Source organism: Homo sapiens, chromosome 10 (genome assembly GCF_000001405.40).
Source record: "Homo sapiens chromosome 10, GRCh38.p14 Primary Assembly".
NCBI lineage: Eukaryota > Metazoa > Chordata > Mammalia > Primates > Hominidae > Homo > Homo sapiens.
This window is the reverse complement of record NC_000010.11, coordinates 32,797,157-32,820,942: the sequence shown is the minus strand read 5'-3', so window position 1 is coordinate 32,820,942 and position 23,786 is coordinate 32,797,157. Positions and strand designations below refer to the sequence as shown.

Here is a 23,786-nt window from a genome sequence, read left to right as displayed (position 1 = left end):
GCCATTGCTTTTGGTGTTTTAGACATGAAGTCCTTACCCATGCCTATGTCCTGAATGGTATTGCCTAGGTTTTCTTCTAGGGTTTTTATGGTTTTAGGTCTAACATTTAAGTCTTTAATCCATCTTGAATTAATTTTTGTATAAGGTGTAAGGAAGCTATCTAGTTTCAGCTTTCTACATATGGCTAGCCAGTTTTCTCAGCACCATTTATTAAATAGGGAATCCTTTCCCCATTTCTTGTTTTTGTCAAGTTTGTCAAAGATCAGATAGTTGTAGATATGCAGCATTATTTCTGAGGGCTATGTCCTGTTCCATTGGTCTATATCTCTGTTTTGGTACCAGTACCATGCTCTTTTGGTTACTGTAGCCTTGTAGTATAGTTGGAAGTCAGGTAGCGTGATGCCTCCAGCTTTGTTCTTTTGGCTTAGGATTGACTTGGCAATGTGGGCTCTTTTTTGGTTCCATATGAACTTTAAAGTAGTTTTTTCCAATTCTGTGAAGAAAGTCATTGGTAGCTTAATGGGGATGGCATTGAATCTGTAAATTACCTTGGGCAGTATGGCCATTTTCACAATTCTATTGATTCTTCCTACCCATGAGCATGGAATGTTCTTCCATTTGTTTGTATCCTCTTTTATTTCACTGAGCAGTAGTTTGTAGTGCTCCTTGAAGAGGTCCTTCCTGTCCCTTGTAAGTTGGATTCCTAGGTATTTTATTCTCTTTGAAGCAATTGTGAATGGGAGTTCACTCATGATTTGGCTTTCTGTCTGTTATTGGTGTATAAGAATGCTTGTGATTTTTGCACATTGATTTTGTATCTGGAGACTTTGCTGAAGTTGCCTCTCAGCTTAAGGAGATTTTGGACTGAGACAGTGGGGTTTTCTAGATATACAATCATGTCATCTCCAAACACGGACAATGTGACTTCCTCTTTTCCTAATTGAATACCCTTTATTTCCTTCTCCTGCCTGATTGCCCTGGTCAGAACTTCCAACACTATGTTGAATAGGAGTGGTGAGAGAGGACATCCCTGTCTTGTGCCAGTTTTCAAAGGGAATGCTTCCAGTTTTTGCCCATTCAGTATGATATTGGCTGTGGGTTTGTCATAGATAGCTCTTATTATTTTGAGATATGTCCCATCAATAACTAATTTATTGAGAGTTTTTAGCATGAAGGTTGTTGAATTTTGTCAAAGGCCTTTTCTGCATCTATTGAGATAATCATGTGGTTTTTGTCATTGGTTCTGTTTATATGCTGGATCACGTTTATTGATTTGCATATTTTGAACCAGCTTTGCATCCCAGGGATGAAGCCCATTTGATCATGGTGGATAAGCTTTTTGATGTGCTGCTGGATTCAGTTTGTCAGTATTTTATTGAGGATTTTTGCATCGATGTTCATGAGGGATATTGGTCTAAAATTCTCTTTTTTTTGTTGTGTCTCTGTCAGGCTTTGGTATCAGGATGATGCTGACCTCATAAAATGAGTTAGGGAGGATTCCCTCTTTTTCTATTGGTTGGAATAGTTTCAGAAGGAATCATAACAGCTCCACCTTTTACCTCTGGGAGAATTCAGCTATGAATCCATCTGGTCCTGGACTTTTTTTGGTTGGTAAGCTATTAATTATTGCCTCAATTTCAGAGCCTGTTATTGGTCTATTCAGAGATTTAACTTCTTCCTGGTTTGGTCTTGGGAGGGTGTTTGTGTCAAGGAATGTATCCATTTCTTCTAGATTTTCTAGTTTATTTGTGTAGAGGTGTTTATAGTATTCTCTGATGGTAGTTTCTATTTCTGTGGGATCAATGGTGATATCCCCTTTATCATTTTTTATTGCGTCTATTTGATTCTTCTCTCCTTTCTTCTTTATTGGTCTTGCTAGTGGTCTATCAATTTTGTTGATCTTTTCAAAAAACCAGCTCCTGGATTCATTGATTTTTTTGAAGGGTTATTTATGTCTCTATTTCCTTCAGTTCTGCTCTGATCTTAGTTATTTCTGGCCTTCTGCTAGCTTTTCAATGTGTTTGCTCTTGCTTTTCTAGTTCTTTTAATTGTGACGTTAGGGTGTCAATTTTAGATCTTTCCTTTTTTCTCTTGTGGGTATTAGTGCTATAAATTTCCCTCTACACACTGCTTTGAATGTGTCCCAGAGATTCTGGTATGTTGTGTCTTTGTTCTCATTGGTTTCAAAGAACATCTTTATTTCTGCCTTCATTTCGTTATGTACCCAGTAGTCATTCAGGAGCAGGTTGTTAATCCTGAGTTACTTAATCCTGAGTTTTAGTTTGATTACACTGTGGTCTGAGAGACAGTTTGTTATAATTTCTGTGCTTTTACATTTGCTGAGGAGTGCTTTACTTCCAACTATGTGGTCAATTTTGGAATAGGTGTGGTGTGGTGCTGAAAAGAATGTATATTCTGTTGATTTGGGGTGGAGAGTTCTGTAGATGTCTATTAGGTCCACTTGGTGCAGAGCTGAGTTCAATTCCTGGATATCCTTGTTAACTTTCTGTCTCGTTGATCTGTCTAATGTTGACAGTGGGGTGTTAAAGTCTCCCATTATTATTGTGTGGGAGTCTAAGTCTCTTTCTAGGTCTCTAAGGACTTGCTTTATAAATCTGGGTGCTCCTGTATTGGGTGCATATATATTTAGGATAGTTAGCTCTTCTTGTTGAATTGATCTCTTTACCATTATGTAATGGCCTTCTTTATCTCTTTTGATCTTCATTGGTTTAAAGTCTGTTTTATCAGAAACTAGGATTGCAACCCTTGCCTTTTTTTGTTTTCCATTTGCTTGGTAGATCTTCCTCCATCCCTTTATTTTGAGCCTATGTGTGTCTCTGCACATGAGATGGGTTTCCTGAATACAGCACACTGATGGGTCTTGACTCTTTATCCAATTTGCCAGTCTGTGTCTTTTAATTAGAGCATTTAGCCTATTTACATTTAAGGTTAATATTGTTATGTGTGGATTTGATCATGTCATTATGATGTTAGCTGGTTATTTTGCTCGTTAGTTGATGCAGTTTCTTCCTAGCCTTGACAGTCTTTACCATTTGGCATGTTTTTGCCGTGGCTGGTACCGGTTGTTCCTTTCCATGTTTAGTGCTTCCTTCAGTAGCTCTTTTAGGGCAGGCCTGGTGGTGACAAAATCTCTCAACATTTGCTTGTCTGTAAAGGATTTTATTTCTCCTTCACTTATGAAGCTTAGTTTGGCTGGATATGAAATTCTGAGTTGAAAATTCTTTTCTTTAAGAATGTTGAATATTGGCCCCCACTCTCTTCTGGCTTGTAGAGTTTCTGCTGAGAGATCAGCTGTTAGTCTGATGGGCTTCCCTTTGTGGGTAACCTGACCTTTCTCTCTGGCTGCCCTTAACATTTTTTCCTTCATTTCAACTTTGGTGAATCTGACAATTATGTGTCTTGGAGTTGCTCTTCTCGAGGAGTATCTTTGTGGCTTTCTCTGTATTTCCTGAATTTGAATGTTGGCCTGCCTTGCTAGATTGGGGAAGTTCTCCTGGATAATATCCTACAGAGTGTTTTCCAACTTGGTTCCATTCTCCCTGTCACTTTCGGGTACACCAATCAGACGTAGATTTGGTCTTTTCATGTAGTCCCATATTTCTTGAAGGCTTTGTTTGTTTCTTTTTATTCTTTTTTCTCTAAACTTCTCTTCTTGCTTCATTTCATTCATTTGATCTTCCATCACTGATACCCCCTCTTCCAGTTGATCAAATCGGCTACTCAGGCTTGTGCATACGTCGCGTACTTCTCGTGCCATGGTTTTCAGCTCCATCAGGTCCTTTAAGGACTTCTCTGCATTGGTTATTCTAGTTAGCCATTTGTCTAATTTTTTTTTCAAGGTTTTTAACTTCTTCGCCATGGGTTCGAACTTCCTGCTTTAGCTCAGAGTAGTCTGATCATCTGAAGCCTTCTTCTCTCAACTCATCAAAGTCATTCTCCATCCAGCTTTGTTCCGTTGCTTGTGAGGAGCTGCTTTCCTTTGGAGGAGGAGAGGCACTCTGATTTTTAGAGTTTCTGTTTTTTCTGCTCTTTTTTTTCCCCATCTTTGTGGTTTTATCTACCTTTGGTCTTTGATGATGGTGATGCATAGATGGGGTTTTGGTGTGGATGTCCTTTGTGTTTGTTAGTTTTCCTTCTAATAGTCAGGACCCTCAGCTGCAGGTCTGTTGGAGTTTGCTGGAGGTCTACTCCAGACCCTGTTTGCCTGGGTATCAGCAGCGGAGGCTGCAGAACAGCGGATATTGGTGAACAGCAAATGTTGCTGCCTGATCGTTCCTCTGGAAGTTTTGTCTCAGAGGAGTACCTGGCCATGTGAGGTGTCAGTCTGCCCCTACTAGGGGTTGCCTCCCAGTTAGGCTACTCGAGGGTCAGGAACCCACTTGAGGAGGCAGTCTGTCCATTCTCAGATCTCCAGCTGCGTGCTAGGAGAACCACTACTCTCTTCAAAGCTGTCAGACAGGGACATTTAAGTCTGCAGAGGTTTCTGCTGCCTTTTGTTTGGCAATGCCCTGCCCCCAGAGGTGGAGTCTACAGAGGCAGGCAGGCCTCCTTGAGCTGCGGTGGGCTCCACCCAGTTTGAGCTTCCTGGCTGCTTTGTTTACCTACTCAAGCCTCAGCAATCGCAGGCACCCCTCCACCAGCCTCGCTGCCACCTTGCAGTTTGATCTCAGACTGCTGTGCTAGCAATGAGCGAGGCTCCATGGGCGCAGGACCCTCCGAGCCATGCGCAGGATATAATCTCCTGGTGTGCCATTTGCTAAGACCATTGGAAAAGTGCAGTATTAGGGTGGGAGTGACCCGGTTTTCCAGGTGCCATGTGTCACCCCTTTCTTTTACTAGGAAAGGGAATTCCCTGATCCCTTGCACTTCCCGGGTGAGGTGATGCCTCACCCTGCTTCAGCTCACACTTGGTGCACTGCACCCACTGTCCTGCCAACACTCCCAAGTGAGATGAACCCGGTACCTCAGTTGGAAATGCAGAAATCACCCATCTTCTGCGTTGCTCACACTGGGAGCTGTGGACTGGAGCTGTTCCTATTTGGCCATCTTGGCTCCACCGCTCTTTCAGCACTTTTAATATACAACACCACAGCCTTCTGGACTTCAAAAGTTTCTAATGCTGAGTCAGATGTTAATCTCACTGGGGTTCTCTTCTACGGGATGAATTGTTTTCCTCTTGATGCATTGTACATTTTCTCTTTCTTTTTCAACATTTTTACAGTGATTAGTCTGGTCATGGATTGATTTGTATTTATTCTACTTAGATTTAATAGAACTCAGATGTATAGATTAATATTACCTAGTAAATATTTTTCAAAGTATTCAGCCAATTTTCTTCAAATATTTTTTCTTATTCTCTCTCTACTTGGAAGACTCTCCTTCTGGTATTCCCATTATATTAAGTTTGCTTACTCCTTCTGACATTTCAAATCTTTTCTTGACCCTGTAATGAATTTTCCCTTGTAGTTATTTTACCTTTCAATTCCAAATATTAATTTGGTTCTTTAAAAATTTAATTTACATCACAATGTTGACATCTATTTGATAAAAGATTGTTATTGTACCTTCTTTTTCTTCTTTGAGAAATGTTTTAATTATTTGATGATATTATTATTATTATTAGACTACTTTGTAATCATTGTCTGCTAAATCTAACGTGTAGGACTCTCACAAGCAGTTTTCCTTGCCTTTTTCCTTGTGTTTGGGTTACAGAGTACTGTTTCTGTGCATGTCCTAAATTTTTTTGCTAAAATATGGACAATTTAGATAATGTATTATAGCAAATCTGTATGTTGATTGACTCTTCCTTTTTGTGGGGCTTGTTGTTTTTGTTTGTTTGCTGCTTGTTGTTGTTGTTGGTGGTGGGGTGTTTGTGTATGTGTGTGATTTGATAGAAGTATTTTCCTAAAGTCTCTTTCCTCTACAGTGTAAAGTCTCTTATGTTGCTTTTTGAGGGCATCTCCTTGGGCATGCAAACAGTTTCCCTCGGATGACAGTGGTTTTAGCAGGGCACTCTTTGAATGTCTCTTTCCATTATTTATTTGTTAAAATGTCTTCTTTTGGTATCACACCAACGGTCATAGAGAAGTGTGTCTAACACTGTAACCCCAGGACTAAATTCAGTTGTGTAATCTCTGAAAAATATAACTAAATAACTTTATTGCAGCTGAGATGTTACAAACTTGACTGATATTTTTACCATATAGAGTCAACTGGTAACCAATAAAATTACTATCTGTTATATTCATCTTCTTATCACATCCATCATCTAGCCCTTCTGCTTTTGAAAAGCTAATTTTACATTGCTAGTTGAAACTAGAGTTGAAATATTATAGAGGGGAATTCATAAAGACTTTTGCCTATGTAATAATTCATAGGCACTGTTCTCCTTAAAGATGCACACTTAGTTACACTCCAGAGAATATAAACTAACCAGAAATACTAAATGTGTAAAGTTTTTGTTCTTACCAGGGAGACTCTTTGATCGTGTCTTGAATTCATCCTTTAGTATATCTCTTCCAAATGCATCTGTCAATTGTTCTATATCAGGCCCTATAGAAATAAACAGGTATCAAAACACTGTAAGGTAATCATTTATACACAAATGTGACAGTGTGAGTGCATGTACATATATGTGTGTGTGTTACTAACTTAAAATATTTGTGGCTGGGCACGGTGGCTCACGCCTGTAATCCCAGCACTTTGGGAGGCCAAAGTGCAGGTGGATCATGAGGTCAAGAGATCGAGACCATCCTGGCCAACATGGTGAAACCCCGTCTCTACTAAAAATACAAAAATTAGCTGGGTGTGGTGGCGCATGCCTGTAGTCCCAGCTACTTGGGAGGCTGAGGCAGAAGAATCACTCAAACCCAGGAGTCGGAGGTTGCAGTGAGCTGAGATCATGCCACTGCACTCCAGCCCGGTGACACAGCGAGACTCTGTCGCAAAAAAGAAAAAAATAAATGAAAATAAAAATTGTATTTATAGAAGAATTAAAATGAAATGTCTGGATTGGAAAATAACAAAAACCTTAAAAAGGAAAGGATGTTAACAATTATATAAGCCAGACTATATTCAGGCTTAGATATGTTTAATGAATTGAAATATCATATAGCCAGGGAAAGGTAAAACTGATGCACAACCTGATGCTGCACAATTTCTTAACCAGTAATTGTTCTATACAATGCTATTTCTTATGCAAATTGAAATCATCCTAGGGACATTATGATGATAATGTATCTTTCAAGTTTACACTAAAAATATACCCAACCTGTAGGTATGTACTATGTGAGGTGGAACATTTTTTTCCATAGGTCAAGCTGCAAACCATGGCCTCATTAGTCACAGAAACTTCTCATGAGGCAGAAATTATTTGATTCATTGAGGAATATTTCTTTCCCCTTTTTACGTTATGTAATTGTAAATTCTTTAGATATTGGTTATGAAAAACATTACAAGATATTTGTAAAACTGAGAAAAACTGCCCTCTGAGGTCCCTTGAACATGAATCAAGGAGGTAATGGTCAGATTTGCAGCACTATCAGAATTGTTATTGGATCCGTTTCCATTTAAGTTTTTATGTGGTTTGATATTTTCCTGGAATTAGAAACTACTAAGTTCAATGAGATAAAAACGTATAAAAATTATTAAAAAGAAATTCATATTGAAAAGGGGATAATGAGGATTGGTGACATAAGGTCAACATTGGGCTTAAGATTCTGTGGGTAGAATTGGCTCTAGCAGAGTATATAACTATGGTTGGACACTTGTCATAATCCTTCCATTGTATTGTAGAGCGGTTTGTTGTTGTTGTTGTTGTTGTTGTTGCTGTTTTGGGAAAATTGGTGAATACATGAATAATGTAAATGGTTGCATTATGACACCAGCTGCTCAAATATGCCACAACTGCATTCTATACTGAGCACTGCCTCACTACCAAAGTAAAAAGTGATCCATAAGATTGAGCAGAACAAGTTTTCAGTAATCAAGTAACAATATAAGAGATATAGCGACTCAAAACTGGAAACATCGGCAGATGTATTTTAGCTTCCTTTGTTCTTTCTTCAACTGATATATCAAAGAAGGACGGGTTCATTTGAAATGAGCAAGCAAATGATCCTTACACAATCAGGGAAAAAAATGAGACCATCTGAGGAAATATTGGGTTAAATACTAGAAATTAAAAGGTATGTGCTGGAGACACTTATAATTTACTAAGAGTTACAATCTTTCTCCTTCACAATATCCTCCCTTTGCTTTAAATCTTTTAAAAATGTTTTTCTGCTTGAAGTTCACTGAGTATTTTAAATAAGCTATCTAAAATCTTAAATTCTATGGATTTTAATACATTCAGTAATGTCTGTCACCATCATCACAGTCAAGTTTAAAAAGTACTTTAAATTTATACTAAATTCCAGTGAAATATAGAAAAGTAACTCCCATATAGCTGTATTCCGTTCCCCATTTTTGTGCTATTGTTATACATAGCACATTTGTAAATAATAAAGACATGGTTATAGTTGTTGTTATAATTATTTCTTTATATAATTTTATGCTTTTTTAAAAAGCTGAGGCAAGAAAGAAAATATATATTTCCAATTTGTATTATATTAACCTTCTTATTTATAATTTCTGGTTCTATTAATTTGTTCCTGTGGTTTCAGATTATCATATCTTGTCATTTTCTTTTTTGTTAATACATAATATTTGTGCCTATTTATGGGGTACATGTGATATTTGGTTATATGTATAGTGTGCATAAAAATCAAGTCAGATTATTTAGAATATCACCTCAGCGATTTATCATCATTCAGTATGATGTTAGCTGTGGGTCTGTCATATATGGACTTTATTAGTTTGAGGTACATTCCTTTTATGCCTAAGTTGTTGAGAATTTTATCATGAAGGAATGTTGAATTTTATCAAATGTTTTTTCTGCATCTACTGAGGTGATTATATGGTTTTGTCCTTCTTTCTGTTGATCTACCTTGTTTATTGATTTGTATATGTTAAACCACCCTTACATCCGTGGGATAGATCCAACTTGATCACAGTGCATTATCTTCCTGATATGTTGTTGAATTTGGTTTGCTAGCATTTTGTTGGGGATTTTTATGTTGATGTTCATCAGAGATATTGACTTGTACTTTTATTTTTTTATGTCCTTGTCTGGTTTTGGTATCAGAGTAAATGCTGGCCTTGTAGACTGAGTTACAGAGAATTCCGTCCTCTTCAATTTTTTGGAATAGTTTGAGGGGAATTGGTGTTAGTTCTTTAAAGGTTTGGAAAAAATTGGCAGTGAGGCCATCTAGTCATGTGTTGGGAACATTTCTAGACCTCTCTCTAGCTATTCTGAAATACAAAATACATTGTTATTAACTATAATCAATCTCCTCTGCTACGGAACTTTATAACTTATTCTTTTTATCTAACAGCACGTTTGTAGTACCCATTAACCAGATTTTCTATTTCTTCTTAATTCAATCTTGGTAGGCTATATGTGTCCAGAAATCTATCAATTTCCTCTAGATTTTCCAGTTTATCAGCGTATAGTTGTTCATAATATTTTCTGATGATCTTTTGTAATTCTGTGGTATCAGTTCTATCTCCTTTTTCATTTCTGATTTTGTTAATTTGTATCTTCTATCTTTTTTTAAGTTAGTCTACCTAGTGGTTTATTAATTTCATCTTTTTAAAACACCAAGTTTTGATTTGGTTGATCCTTTGCTTAAGTATCTATTTCACTTAGTTCTGCTCTGATCCTTTTTGCTTTTCTTCTATTAATTTTTGTTGTGATTGGTTTGTTTTTGCTTTTCTAGTCTCTTGAGGTGCATTGTTAATTTATTTGAAATCTTTCTACTCTTTGATGGAGGTGTTTATTGCTATAAACTTCCATTTTTAGCATTGCTTTTGTTATATCCCATAGGTTTTGATATGTTGCATTTTCATTTTCATTTGTTTCAAGCATTTTTTGATTTCCTTTTTAATCTCTTCATTGATTCAGTGATCATTCATGAGCACTTTGCTTAATTTCCATGTGTTTGCACAGTTCCCAAAGTTCCTCTAGTTTTTGATTTCTAGTTTTAATCTGTCATGGTCTGAAAAAATACTTGATATGATTTTGATTTTTAAAAATTTGTTAAGACATCTTTTGTGGCCTAACATATGGTCTAACCTGGAGAATGTTCCATGTGCTGACGAGAAGAATGTGTGTTCTGCAGTTACTGAAGAAAATACTTTGTAATTATCTGTTAGGGCCATTTGGTTTAAACTGATGTTTAAACTCAATGTTTCTTCGTTGATTTTCTGTCTAGACAATCTGTCTAATGCTGAGAATGAGGTGTTGAAGTTTCTAGCTATTATTTTATTGGACTGTCTCTGTCCCTTTAGATTTAATATTTGCTTTATATATCTGGATGCTTCAATGTTGGGTGAATATAAGTTTAAAATTGGTATATCCTCTTTCTGAATTGATCCTTTTATCATTATATAATAATTATCCTTATCTCTTTTTATTGTTTTTGACTTAAAGTCTGTTTTATCTGAAATAAGTACAGCTACTCCTGCTCACTTTTGTTTTCTGTTTGCATGGAATATTTTTTCCATTCCTTCACTACCAGTCTATATGTTTCTTTACAGGTGAAGTGAGTTTCTTATAGGCAGTATACAGTTTGCTCATGTTTTTAAAATCCATTCAGCCATTTTCTGTTTACATTCAAGAATAATATTGATATGTGAGAACTTATTCCTATTGTTTTCTTATTTTCTGGTTGTTTTCTTTATCCTTTGTTTCTTTCTTTCTCTTGTGTTGTTTATCATTGTGGTTTGGTGATTTTCTGCCATAGTAACATTTGAGTTCTTTTTCTTCCTCATTTGTGTGTTTCCACATCCATGGTGTATATGTGCCACATTTTCTTAATCCAGTCTATCACTGATAGACATTTGAGTTCGTTCCCAGTTTTTGCTATTGTGAATAGTGCCGCAATAAACATATGCGTGCATGTGTCTTTATAGTAGCATGATTTATAATCCTTTGGGTATATACCAAGTAATGGGATGGCTGGGTCAAATGGTATTTCTAGTTCTAGATCCCTGAGGAATTGCCACACTGACTTCCACAATGGTTGAACTAGTTTACAGTCCCACTAACAGTGTAAAAGTGTTCCTATTTCTCCACATCCTCTCCAGCATCTGTTGTTTTCTGACTTTTTAATGATTGCCATTCTAACTGGTGTGAGATGGTATCTCATTGTGGTTTTGATTTGCATTTCTCTGATGACCAGTGATGATGAGCATTTTTTCTTGTGTCTGTTGGCTGCATAAATGTCTTCTTTTAAAAAGTGTCTGTTCATATCCTTTGCCCACTTTTTGATGGGGCTGTTTGTTTTTTTCTTGCAAATTTGTTTGAGTTCTTTGTAGATTCTGGATATTAGCCCTTTGTCAGATGGGTAGATTGCAAAAATTTTCTCCCACTGAATGTATTTTTTGTTTTATTAATTGAATTGAATTATGGGATTTCTGTTTGGTTCTTTTCTTAATGATATCTACCTCTTTAATAAATTTTTCATTCCTCTCAAAATTATTTTTCTGATTTCTTTGTATTGTTTATCTGTGTTCTCTTCTACCTCATTGAGCTTCTTTAATATCATTATTTTCAATTCTGTTTCAGGCGTTTCATTAATTTCTTTTTCACTGGAATCTGTTGCTGAAGAATTATTGTGTTCTTTTTGAGGTGTCACATTTCCTCGCTTTTTCATGTTTCTTGTGTACTTATGTGTCTGTCATCTCATGTAACACTCACTTCTCTCAATTTGTGGATTGGCTTTCACAGAGCAAAACTTTTTCCTGAAGATGCTATCTATGATGTTGGTTGGATAGGGCACTTTTCAAATTAAAAAAAGTTTTTTGGTAGAGACAGTGTCTCACTGGTCTTGAACCAAGGCTGGCCTCAAATGTCTGATCTCAAGTGATCCTGCCACCTTCACCTCCCAAAGTGCTGGGGTATAGGCATGAGTCACCATGCCTACCCTGGGTTGGGCATTTTAGCTTTGATTCTGGGTGTATGCAGTGGTATACGGCCTCTGTATAATTTTTTTTTTCAGCTATAACAGTGTCAGTGATGTCCATCATTTCTTCAATGACTTAGGCTGTAGTTGCTAGTGGATGCTGCCGTGAGGCTTTGCTGGGGACAGGGACCCCAGGTGAATCAGTCCTTGGCCTCATTAGTGATAGCAATGGCTGAGCATGCCTATCCTTGGGCCCCTAGGTGATATATGTGAGCATCAGGATTAGTGAGTCCAGGCAGGCTAATCCTTGGGCCTCTAGGTGGCTTGCTTGAGTGCTGGCCATGGTGCCAGCAGGTAGGTGGGTCCTTGAGCCTCCAGACAGTGTACATGATGTGGGCAATAAAAGTCACAGTGGTGAAACAACCCACAGGCTCCCAAGTAGCATGCACTGGTGTTAGTAGTGGCTACAACTGGCTAGCTGAGTTCATCCTCCAGGACCCAGGAAGAGTGCACAGATGCCTGTGGTGGTAAATGGGGCAGGATGAGCCCCCGGCCTTTGGGTGTCATGCTTTGGTGCTGCTGACAGGTTTCTGGGCCTATTGTGAGGTCCCCTGGTAATCAGGGCAACTGATGGGGCAAGGTAATCCCCTGGCCCCTGGGAGGCATTTTTGGGCACTGAAACACGGCTCTAGGCTGAGAGGGCTGGTTCTCAGATCCCCCAATGGTATGCATGGGCACATGCTTTGGCAGGCAGGGTGGGGAAATCCCCAGGACCCCAAGTGGTGTGCCTGGGTGGCATTAACAGCAATGGCAGTTGTCAGGGAGAGCCTGTTCTCAGGGTGCATCCAACTGTGTGGTGGTCCTGCCGCTGGGTAGGATTGAGTTGCTCTCAGTGGCAGTGTCTGCAGCCCACTGCATAGATGCAGGGGGATGTCAGTGGGGCTCTACGATGTAGGGATGTTGGGCCACACCAGCCTGGCCAACATGGAAAAACCCCATCACTACTGAAAATACAAAAATTAGCTGGGCATGGTGGTGCATGCCTGTAGTCCCAGCTACTTGGGAGGCTAAGACAGAAGAATCACTTGAACCCAGGAGGCAGAGGAAAAAAGGCACTATGCTGCATCTGCTTGGTTCTCACGGTGTGTGTGTGTGACTCACATGAGCTCCCTCTCTAGAGCAATGCCACTGGTCAGGGCCTGTAAGGGTGGCTCTCCCATGGCTAGGATTGGAGGAATCTATGGTGGGAATGTTGACTTCTAGGGACCTCTCACCCTTTTCCCACACTGGGGAGCCTCTCTGGACTTTATCGATCCTACTTAGGTCAGCTGCCTCCTTTCCCTTTCCTTCTATGCCTCAGGTGTTTCCTGTTAATTCTCTGCTGAATTCTAGTGTTCCTGATTAGACGATCTATTTGAAATATGATTATCAATTCCCAAATTTGTTTTTTTGTATGTGTTGAGAAGAGTGCCAGATATCTTTAAGACAGTCATCTTGGAGCCCCCTCTCTTGTCATTTTTTTTTAACTTCAATACATCATTTCTCTCAACCATCGCCTGTGTGCTAACATTCTGGAATATACTACATGTCTATATTTTAAAGTCCCAGCAATAAAATTCTGTAAATATTTTTTATACAATTGCATTTTATATCAATTAAGAGTTAAAATTAAGAGTAGAAAGAAGTGAAGTATATTTATATGGTCTTTCAGAGTTACAGAATTCCTTTAACCTATGTTCGTTTTATGGGTTCAAGTTAGTGTCAGAGGTCAATGGTTTTCAACCTGAAGAACTCTATATTTCTTGGAAAGCAGTTCTGATAGGAATAAATTTTCTAATTTAAAAAAGTCTATTTAGAAATATCTTCATTTCACCTTCATGTTCAATAAATAGTTTTGCTGGATATAAGATTTTTGGTTAACAGTCCTTCATTTAGCTTTTTGAATGTGCTGTCCCAATGCCTTCTGGCCCTAATAGTTCCTAATGATAAGTAGTCAGCTTTTAATCTTAGTGGGGTTCTCTTTTACATCATGCATTGTTTTTCTCTTGCTGCTTTTAAGCTTTTCTCTTTATCTTTCAACATTGTTACTATGAGTGTGATTATAGATTCCCTTGTGTTTATTCTACTTAGAATTAATTGAGCTTGGATGTGTAGACTCATTTATCATTAAATATTCTTCAAAAAGTTTTCATCCATATTTTTTCTGCTCCTTTCTCTCTCTGTTTTCTTTTTAGTGTTCCTAATACTTTAAGTTTTTTAATTCTTTCTTTGGACAGTTCAAATGTACTTGAACCCCTCTAGTAAATTTTTACTTCCAATTTTTGTACTTTTTAACACTGTAATTTCCATGTGGCCCTTTGCAAAATATTTTTTATCTCTTTGTAGATATCTTCTATTTGATGAAACATTGTCATAATATCTTCCTTTTCTTGTTAAAGAATGGTTTCCTTTAGTTCTTTCAATATATTTATACTAACTGCTTTGTAGTCATTGTCTGCTAAGTCTAACAGCTAGGATTCTCATAAGCTGTTTTTTTGCCTGCTCTTCTTCTGTGTATGGGTCATACTTTCTTCCTTATTAGAATAACTCATACTTTTATGCTGAAAACTGGACATTTTAGACATATAATGTAGCAATCTTAATTTTGATTCTTTTCCTCTTCTTTCTGGGTATGTTATTATTGTTTGCTTATTTATTTCTTCAGTGATTTGGCTTGATTATTTTACCGAAAACTCTTTCCCCTGTGATATGGTTTGTATGTTTTTCCTGTCCAAATCTCATGTTGAAATGTAATCCCCATTGTTGGAGGTGGGACGTGTTTGTGTCACAAGGGCAGATCCTTCTCCATGGAATGGTGCTGTTCTCACAATAGTATATGAGTTCTTGTGAGATCCAGTTGTTCAAAAGTATGTAGCACCTTCCCCCTTCTTTCTCTTGCTCCTGCTCTTGTCATGTAATGTGCCTGTTCTGCTTTACTTTCTGCCGTGAGTAAAAGCGCCCTGAGGCCTCCCCAGAAGCCAAGTAGATGCTGGCACTATGCTTGTACAGCCTCTTTTCTTTATAAATTACCCAGTCTCAGGTATTCCTTTATAGCAATGCAAGAATGGCTCAATACATCCTGCAATGTGAAGCCTCTAATGCCGTTCCTACAATAAAACAGCTTTGGGCATGTAACAACCACCTCTGGATGACAGTGGTTTTAGAGGGTCCCTCTTTGAGTATGTCTTTTACTTAATTCTCTATTAACCTGTCTGCCTTCCTTTGTATCACACCAGAGATCAAAGGGTGTTTTGCCTAACACTGCTACTCTTGTACCAAAGGCAGTAGTATAATATCTGAACTATTTTACACAACTGAAGGATTCTGCCATAGTTGAGAGATTATTACCATGCCTGACATTTTAAAGTATAGAGGGAATTTGTAAGAATAAAACAACTGTCTTTTTCCTTTACTTATTGCACTCATCAGATAGCCTTTCCGCTTTTGCAAATTTAAAGTAACTTTCTATCTAAACTGTAAATAGAAAGGGACTAAAATAATTTTGAACATACTTGTCCCAAGTATATTCTAAGCTCACTATACTATATTATTTTATGGATTACTTTCTAAATGGATGAGTCCTAAAAGTAATAATATCTAGCTAGCTTTACATTTCTAGTAAATATGTTCTAGAGTAAAACCAAATATGGGAGGGTATTCATGAGAACCTGTGCCCATGTCATAATAACAAATGGGCACCATTGCTATTAAGGATACACACTTAAACTTTGAAGGAGAAAAATAAATGAGAAATATTAGACTTAAAAATATTTTCTTACCAGGGAAACTCTTTGACTGTGTCTTGAATTCATCATTTAATAAGCGTCTTCCCAAAGCACCTCTCAAGCTTTCTATATCAGTCTCTATAGAAATAGATGGATTTAAAAATACTTTGCGAGGTAATCCTTACATAGGAATGTGAGGGGTGTGTGTGTGTGTGTGTGTGTATTAAATTAATCAGCCTTTGTTATTAATGAATAAAAGTTATAGCAAAATGTCTGAATTGCCAAATCACTAAACATTAGGAGTGGAAGGTCTGTTAGCAATCATATAAGCCTTAGTGTATTGAGGCATAGAAATGTTTAGTGATTCGACCAAGACCACATATCGAGGTGATAACAAAGTTGTTGCACAACCTGATGCCCCACAATACTTTGAACAGTGCTTATCTGTAACGCAAAATTAAAATATCCTACAGAATTTATGATAATAACATGACTTTAAAGTTTATATTGAATCACATTCATACCACATGGATATACCTGGTAAGACGAAACATAACTTTTTTTCCACCTAGCAACTTGAAAACAATGATCTTCATAATCACAGGAAATTATTATAGTGCAGAAATACTTTGACTCATCCAGAAATATTTTAATGTGATTTTTAGGTTAACTTTAAACCAAGTAAGCACCAGCGATGGAAAATAATAAGATATCTTGTAGATTGAGGAAAACATGCCCTCTTAGGTCCCTTTACCATGTGGACCTCGTAGCTTAGGATATGATTAAATTTGCAGAAATACAAGGAGTAAAATTGGGTACTTTTCCATTGGAGTTTTTACACAATTTGACTCTTTTGTTGGATTTAGTAGTCTAACCATGTTTAATAACAGGAAAAATACCTGAAATTTATTAAGGAGGAATTTATGTTAGAAAGGGGTGATTAGGATTGATGAACTAAAGTCAACTACTGGGACTAAAGTTTTGTCAGTGAAATCTAGTTCCAGCAGCACATGTGCCTACTAGAAACCTGTAAACACTGGAAACTAAAACCAGTTGTTACCTAGACATAATAGATGGATGTCTTTTTCTTTTTTGAGAAATAGTTAAATTCATGAATAAATGTTAAAATATCTGAAAGTTATTAGTGGGAAATTTATATTAGAAAGTAGTGATTAGGAGTGTATATCATACTATATAATTTACCCATTTAAAGTGTTCAATTAAATGGTAGTTTCAATGGTGGAGGCGACAAACATCCAAACCATATCAAAAACATACTGGAAGAGGGACACACAAATGAAAAGACGAATATAAAAAGCCACCAATTACAAAGCTAAGAAATAACATAAAAAATATACAAAACAATTAGAAGACAACAAAATGACAAGAACAAGTTCTTATCTATCAATAACAATCTTGAATGTAAGTGGTTTAAATTCCTGAATTAAAAGATATAGACAGACAGAATTGATAACAAAAAACCAAGAAGCAACTATATGATGCCTACAAGAAATTCATTTTACCTGTAAAGACACACATAGACTGACAGTGAATGAATCGAAAAAGATTATGCACACAAATGGAAAGTAAGAGTTAAGAAATAGCTATACTTACAACAGACAAATAGACTTTAAATTTTAAAAAAGAGACAAAAAGATTAGTATATAATGATATAGAAATCAATCCAGAGAGAGGATATAACAATTATAAATATATAAAAAGCTAACCCTAGAGAACCCAGTTCTAAACAGGAATTATTATTAGAGCTAAGGAGAGAAAGAGTCCCCAAGACAATAATAGTTGGAAACTTCAGCATCCCACTATCAGCACTGGATATCATCTAGACAGAAAATCAACAAAGAAACATTAAACTTAAACTGTGCTATATATCAAATGGACCTAACAGACATTTACAGAACATTTCCTCCAACAACTACTGAATACACATTCTCATCACTTCGCCTTTTGGCTAAGATCAAGTGCAGAATACACATGCTTCTCATTGGCACATGGAAGATCACATATCAGGCCACAAACAAGTCTAAACAAATATTAAAAAGTCAAAATCATATCAGTTATCTTCTCAAATTATGATGAAATAAAACAAGGTATCAATGTGATTGGATTGAAGGATGCAAAGTATTGTTCCTGGGTGTGTCTGTGAGGGTGTTGCCAAAGGAAATTAACATTTGAGTCAGTGGACTAGGAGAGGCAGATCCACTCTCAATCTGGGTGGGCACCACCTAATCAGCTGCCAGAATGGCCAGAATAAAAGCAGGCAGAAGAATGTGAAAGACTAAACTGGCTTAGTCTCCTAGCCTACATCTTTCACCTGTGCTGGATGCTTCCTGCCCTTCAACACCAGACTCGAAGTTCTTCAGCTTTTGGACTCTTGGACCTACACCAGTAGTTTTCCAGGGGCTCTCAGGCCTTCTGCTGCACTGTCAGCTTCCCTACTTTTGAGGTTTTGGAAATAGGACTGGATTCCTTGCTCCTCAGCTTGCAGATGGCCTACTGAGGAACCTCACCTTTTGATTGTGTGAGTCAATACTCCTTAATAAACTCCCTTTTGTCTATATATCTATCCTCTTAGTCCAGCCCTCAAGAGAACCCTAATACAGATTTTGGTACTGGGAGTGGTTCTAGAGGAACAGAATTTTAAGGATGGAGTATTTAGTTGCCTTTGGGGTTTCTGGAGTTGCCTGCTTAATATGATTAGACCCAAAAATGCTAAGGATTCTACTTCTAATAGTATGGAGAACACTGATAGTTCTTGGTGTGAACTGTTTAGAGAGTTATGCAAAATAAATGCATTTGATACTCCTGATTCACTGCTCAAGAGATGCAAGGAGTTTAGTAACTCTATACATAATACCTTTGACCATATGTGAAGAACTACGGAATGTAAAGAAGTTGGTTGGTTGCTCCTAAGTTCACTAGACAATGTGATAAAAGAAAATGAAGTCAGGGATTCTATCTCCCGGCTCTAGAAGCACATACTAAGCCTCAAATCTTCTAAGGTTGCCCTAAGTGAGAGTCTTATCTTCTGTAGAAAAAAAGCTGAAATTGTGGAAAATCAGACACAAGCTCTTATCCTGTGAGTGGCTGACCTGCAACAAAAGATGCATGCACAACCTCACCAGGTATCCACTATTAAAGTGAGGACATTGATTGGAAAAGAATGGGACCATGCAACTTAAAATGGGGACATGTGGGAGGACCCTGATGAGGCTGGAGGCACTGAGCTCCTAAATTCTGATGAGACTTTTTGGGCGGAGGAAACAGCCTCCCCACTCCAAGTGGTGGCAACATCCCCTTCCCAATCTATGACCCACGCTGCCATCAGCCCTTCCACATTTGCTGAGGAAATTAACCCTGCACTGCCTGAGGTAACAGTGATGGCCTCCCTTGGGGCAGGTGCCAGGCAAGACAATGCTGATTTTCCTCAGGACCCACTCCCAACACCCCTGTTTGCTTCTAGACCTATAATTAGGCTGAAGTCCTGGCAGACCCCTGGAGTTGAGGTTCAAAGTGTAACCCACATGGAGGTGCACTACACTCCAAAAGAACTGCTTGAGTTTTCTAATTTATTTAAGCAGAAATCTGGAGCACATGCATGAGAATGAATATTAAGGGTGTAGGATAATGGTGGAAGGAACACAAAGTTGGAACAGGCTTAATTTATTGATTTAGGCCCACTAAGCAGGGATTCTGCATTTAATGTTGCAGACTGGGGAGTTAAAAAAGATTCTAATAGTTTATTGGCTTTGTTAGCTGAAATATGGATTAAAAGATGGCCCACTGTGAGCGAGCTGGAAATGCCTGATCTCTCTTGGTTTAATGTAGAGAAAAAGATCCAAAGTCTTAGGAGATCAGGATGCTAGAGTGGATTAGTCACTTTAGACCTACTCATCCCAGCTGGGAGGGTCCAGAAGACATAATCTTGACCAATACTTCGAGAAATAGATTTGTGTGGGCAGCACCTGCATCCTTGAAGAGCTCTGTGATTGCTCTTCTCTGTATGCCGATCTTACAGTGGGAACCACAGTCACTTCAGCTATAAAATTTAAATGCAGTGGGAATAATTGGATCCCAAGATGGCAGAGGCCAAGCGGTGGCACTCAACCATCAAAGGCAAGGTGGGCATAGTTACTGCAATGGACAGCAGAGGCAAAGTAGCAATCAGAATAGTCTGACTCATGTAGAGCTCTGGCATTGGCTAATTAATCACGGTGTTTCTAGAAGTGAAATTGCTAGGAAGCCCACTGCATTTTTACTTAATTTATATAAGCAGAAAATTCCATGTCAAGTGGACAAAAGACTGATTTGAATTATAAAGACAGAATCATGGACCCTCAACCAATTTCCAGACTTGAACCAGTTTACAGTTTGTAAACTTGAACCACTTTACTTGAAGGAAAGGCTGGATCCCCTTGAGGAAGGATCCCACTACACTACCAACAGTTTATGCTGTTAATCTTTCTTCCATCTTTCCCCAAAGAGACCTCCAGCCTTTTACTAGGGTAACTGTGCATAGGGGAAAGGGAAATAATCAGACCTTTCAGGGACTACTGGTCACTGGCTCTGAGCTGACATTGATTCCGGGGGACTCAAAAATGTTATTGTGATCCTCCAGTTAAGGTAGGGGCTTATGGAGGTCAGGTAATTAATGGAGTTTTAGCTCAGATCCAACATAGAGTGGCTCCAGTGGGTCCTTGGACTCACCCTGTGGTCATTTCCCCAGTGCCAGAATGCATAATTGGGACAGACATACTTAGTAGCTGGCAGAACCTCCACATTGGCTCCCTGACTGGTAAAGTGAGGGCTGTTATGGTGGGAAAGGCCAAATGGAAGCCATTAGAACTGCCTCTACCTAGAAATATCATACATCAAAATAATATCGCATCCTTACAAAAATTGCAGAGATTACTGCCACCATCAAGGTCTTGAAAGATGCAGGGGTGGTGATTCCCACCACATCCCTGTTCAACTCTCCCATTTGGCCTGTGTAGAAGACAGGTGGATCTTGGAGAATGATAGTGGATTATCGTAAGCTTAACAAAGGGTTTACTCCAACTGCAGCTGCTGTATCAGATGTAGTTTCATTGCTTGAGCAAATTAACACATCTCCTGATACCTGGTATGTGGCCACTGACTTGGCAAATGCCTTTTGCTCCATTCCTGTCCATAAGGCCCACCAGAAGCAATTTGCCTTCAGTGGGCAAGGCCAGCAACATACCTTTACTGTACTACCTCAGGGATATATCAACTCTCCAGCTTTGTGTCATAATCTTGTTTGGAGAGATCTTGTTTGCTTTTCCCTTCCACAAGATATCACACTGGTCCATTATATTGATGACATTATGCTGATTGGATCCAGAGAGTGAGAAGTAGCAAACACACTGGACTTATTGGTGAGACATTTGCATGCCAGAGGATGGGAAATAAATCCAACTAAAATTCAGGGACCTTTTACCTCAGTAAAATTTCTAGGGATCCAGTGGTGTGGGGCCTGTCAAGATATTCCTTAGAATATCACCTTAGAAAGGTGAAGGATAAGTTGCTGCATTTGGCCCCTCCTACAACCAAGAAGGAGTCACAACACCTAGTGGGCCTATTTGGATTTTGGAGGCAACACATTCCTCATTTTGGTGTGTTATTTTGGCCCATTTATCCAGGGACCCAAAAGGCTGCCAATTTTTAGTGGGGTCCAGAACAGGAGAAGGCTCTGCAATAAGTCCAGGGTGCTATGCAAGCTGCTCTGCCATTTGGGTCATATGACCCAGCATACCCAATGGTGCGTGAAGTGTCAGTGGCAGATAGGGATGCTGTTTGGAGACATTGGCAGGCCCCCATAGGTGAATCACAGTGGAGCCCTCTCGGATTTTGGAGCAAGGCCCTGCCGTCTTCTGCAGATAATCATTCTCCTTTTGAGAGTCAGCTCTTGGCCTGTTACTGGGCTTTGGTAGAAACTAAACATTTGACTATGGGTCATCAAGTCACAATGCAACCTGAACTGCTTATCATGAACTGGGTGCTTTCTGACCCATCTAGCCATAAAGTAGGTGATACGCAGCAGCATTCCATCATCAAATGGAAGTGGTATATACATGATCGGGCTCGAGCAGCTCCTAAAGGCACAAGTAAGTTACATGAGGAAGTGGCTCAAATGCCCATGGTCCCCACTCCTGCCACCCTGCCTTCTCTCCCCTAGCCTGCACCAGTGGCCCCATGGGGAGTTCCCTATGATCAGTGGACAGAGGAAGAGAATAGTAGGGTCTGGTTCACAGATGATTCTGCATGATACACAGGCACCACCCAACAGTGGACAGCTACAGCACTACAGCCCCTTTCTAGGACATCCCTGAAGGACAGCAGTGAAGAGAAATTTTCCCAGTGGGCAGAACTTTGAGCAGTGCACCTGGTTGTGCACTCTGCATGGAAGGAGAAATGGCCAGATGTGCAATTATATGCTGATTCATGGGCTGTAGCCAATAGTTTGCCTGGATGGTCAGGGTCTTGGAAGAAGCATGAGTGAAAAATTGGTGACAAAGACATTTGGGGAAGAGGTATGTGGATGGACCTCTCTGAATGGTCAAAAACTGTGAAGATATTTGTATCCCAAGTGAGTGCTCACCAACGGGTGACCTCAGCAGAGGAGGACTTTAATAATCAAGTGGAGAGGATGACCCGTTCTGTGGACACCACTCAGCCTCTTTCCTCAGCCACGCCTGTCATTGCCCAATGGGCCCATGAACAAAGTGGCCATGGTGGCAGGGATGGAGGTTACGCATGGGCTCAGCAATGTGGACTTCCACTCACCAAGGCTGATCTGGCTACGGCCACTGCTGTGTGTCCAATTTGCCAGCAGCAAAGACCAACACTGAGCCCTCTATATGGCACCATTCCTCGGGGTGATCAGCCAGCTACTTGGTGGCAGGTTGATTATATTGGACCTCTGTTATCATGGAAAGGGCAGAGGTTTGTCCTCACCAGAATAGACACGTACTCCAGTTATGCGTTTGCCTATGATGCATACAATGATTCTGCCAAAACTACTATCCATGGACTCATGGAATGCTTTATCCACCATCATGGTATTCCACGTAGTATTGCCTCTGACCAAGGTATTCACTTTATAGATAAAGAAGTGCAGCAGTAGACTCATGCTCATGGAATTCACTGGTCTTACCATGTTCCCTATCATCCTGAAGCAGCTGGATTGATAGAAAGGTGGAATGGCCTTTTGAAGTCACAATTACAATGCCAATTAGGTGGCAATACTTTACAGGGCTGGGGCAAAGTTCTCCAGAAGGCTGTATATGCTCTGAATCAACACCCAGTTTGTGGTACTCGTTCCCCCATAGCCAGGATTCATGGGTCCAGTAATCAAGGGGTGGAAGTGGCACCACTCACCATCACCCCTAATGACCCACTAGCAAATTTTTTCCCTTTTGTTTTATTTTTTATTTATTTTTTAAACTATGTTTTTATTTCCATAATCATTGGGGAACAGGTGGTGTTGGTTATATAAGTTCTTTAGTGGTGATTTGTGAGATTTTGGTGCGCCCATCAGACGAGCAGTATACACTGCACCCAATTTGTAGCCTTTTATCCCTTACTCCCTCCCTACCCTTTGCTTTTGAGTCCCCAAAGTCCATTGTGTCATTCTTATGCCTTTGCATCCTCGTAGCTTAGCTCCCACTTATGAGTGAGAACATACAATGCTTGGTTTTCCATTCCTGAGTTACTTCACTTAGAATAATAGACTCCAATGTCACCCATGTCACTGATAATGCCATCAATTCATTCCTTTTTGTGGCTGAGTAGTATTCCATGATATATATTATATATGTATATATACACATATGTATATATATACGCATATATATACACACATATATATACGCATATATATACACATATATATGTGTGTGTGTATATGTGTGTATATATATACGTATATATATACACACACACACATATATACATACAC

At 38.9% G+C, this 23,786-nt stretch overlaps 1 protein-coding gene across 42 annotated transcripts in view; it reads right to left on the bottom strand.

Annotated features, from left to right (window-relative positions):
• Positions 1-23,786, bottom strand: part of CCDC7 (coiled-coil domain containing 7) — a 439,541-nt gene that overhangs the window by 61,922 nt on the left and 353,833 nt on the right. For 39 of the 42 annotated variants that reach the window (XM_047425743.1, XM_047425742.1, NM_001321115.2 and 36 more), the window contains 2 exons: positions 15,845-15,928; positions 6,490-6,573 (listed from right to left, as the gene is read on the bottom strand). In XM_047425743.1, coding sequence (XP_047281699.1) covers positions 6,490-6,573; positions 15,845-15,928 — 168 coding nt within the window. The remainder of the gene's footprint in view (positions 1-6,489; positions 6,574-15,844; positions 15,929-23,786) is intronic. The other 3 variants (XM_011519666.1, XM_047425744.1, XM_017016640.1) reach the window with 1 other exon arrangement.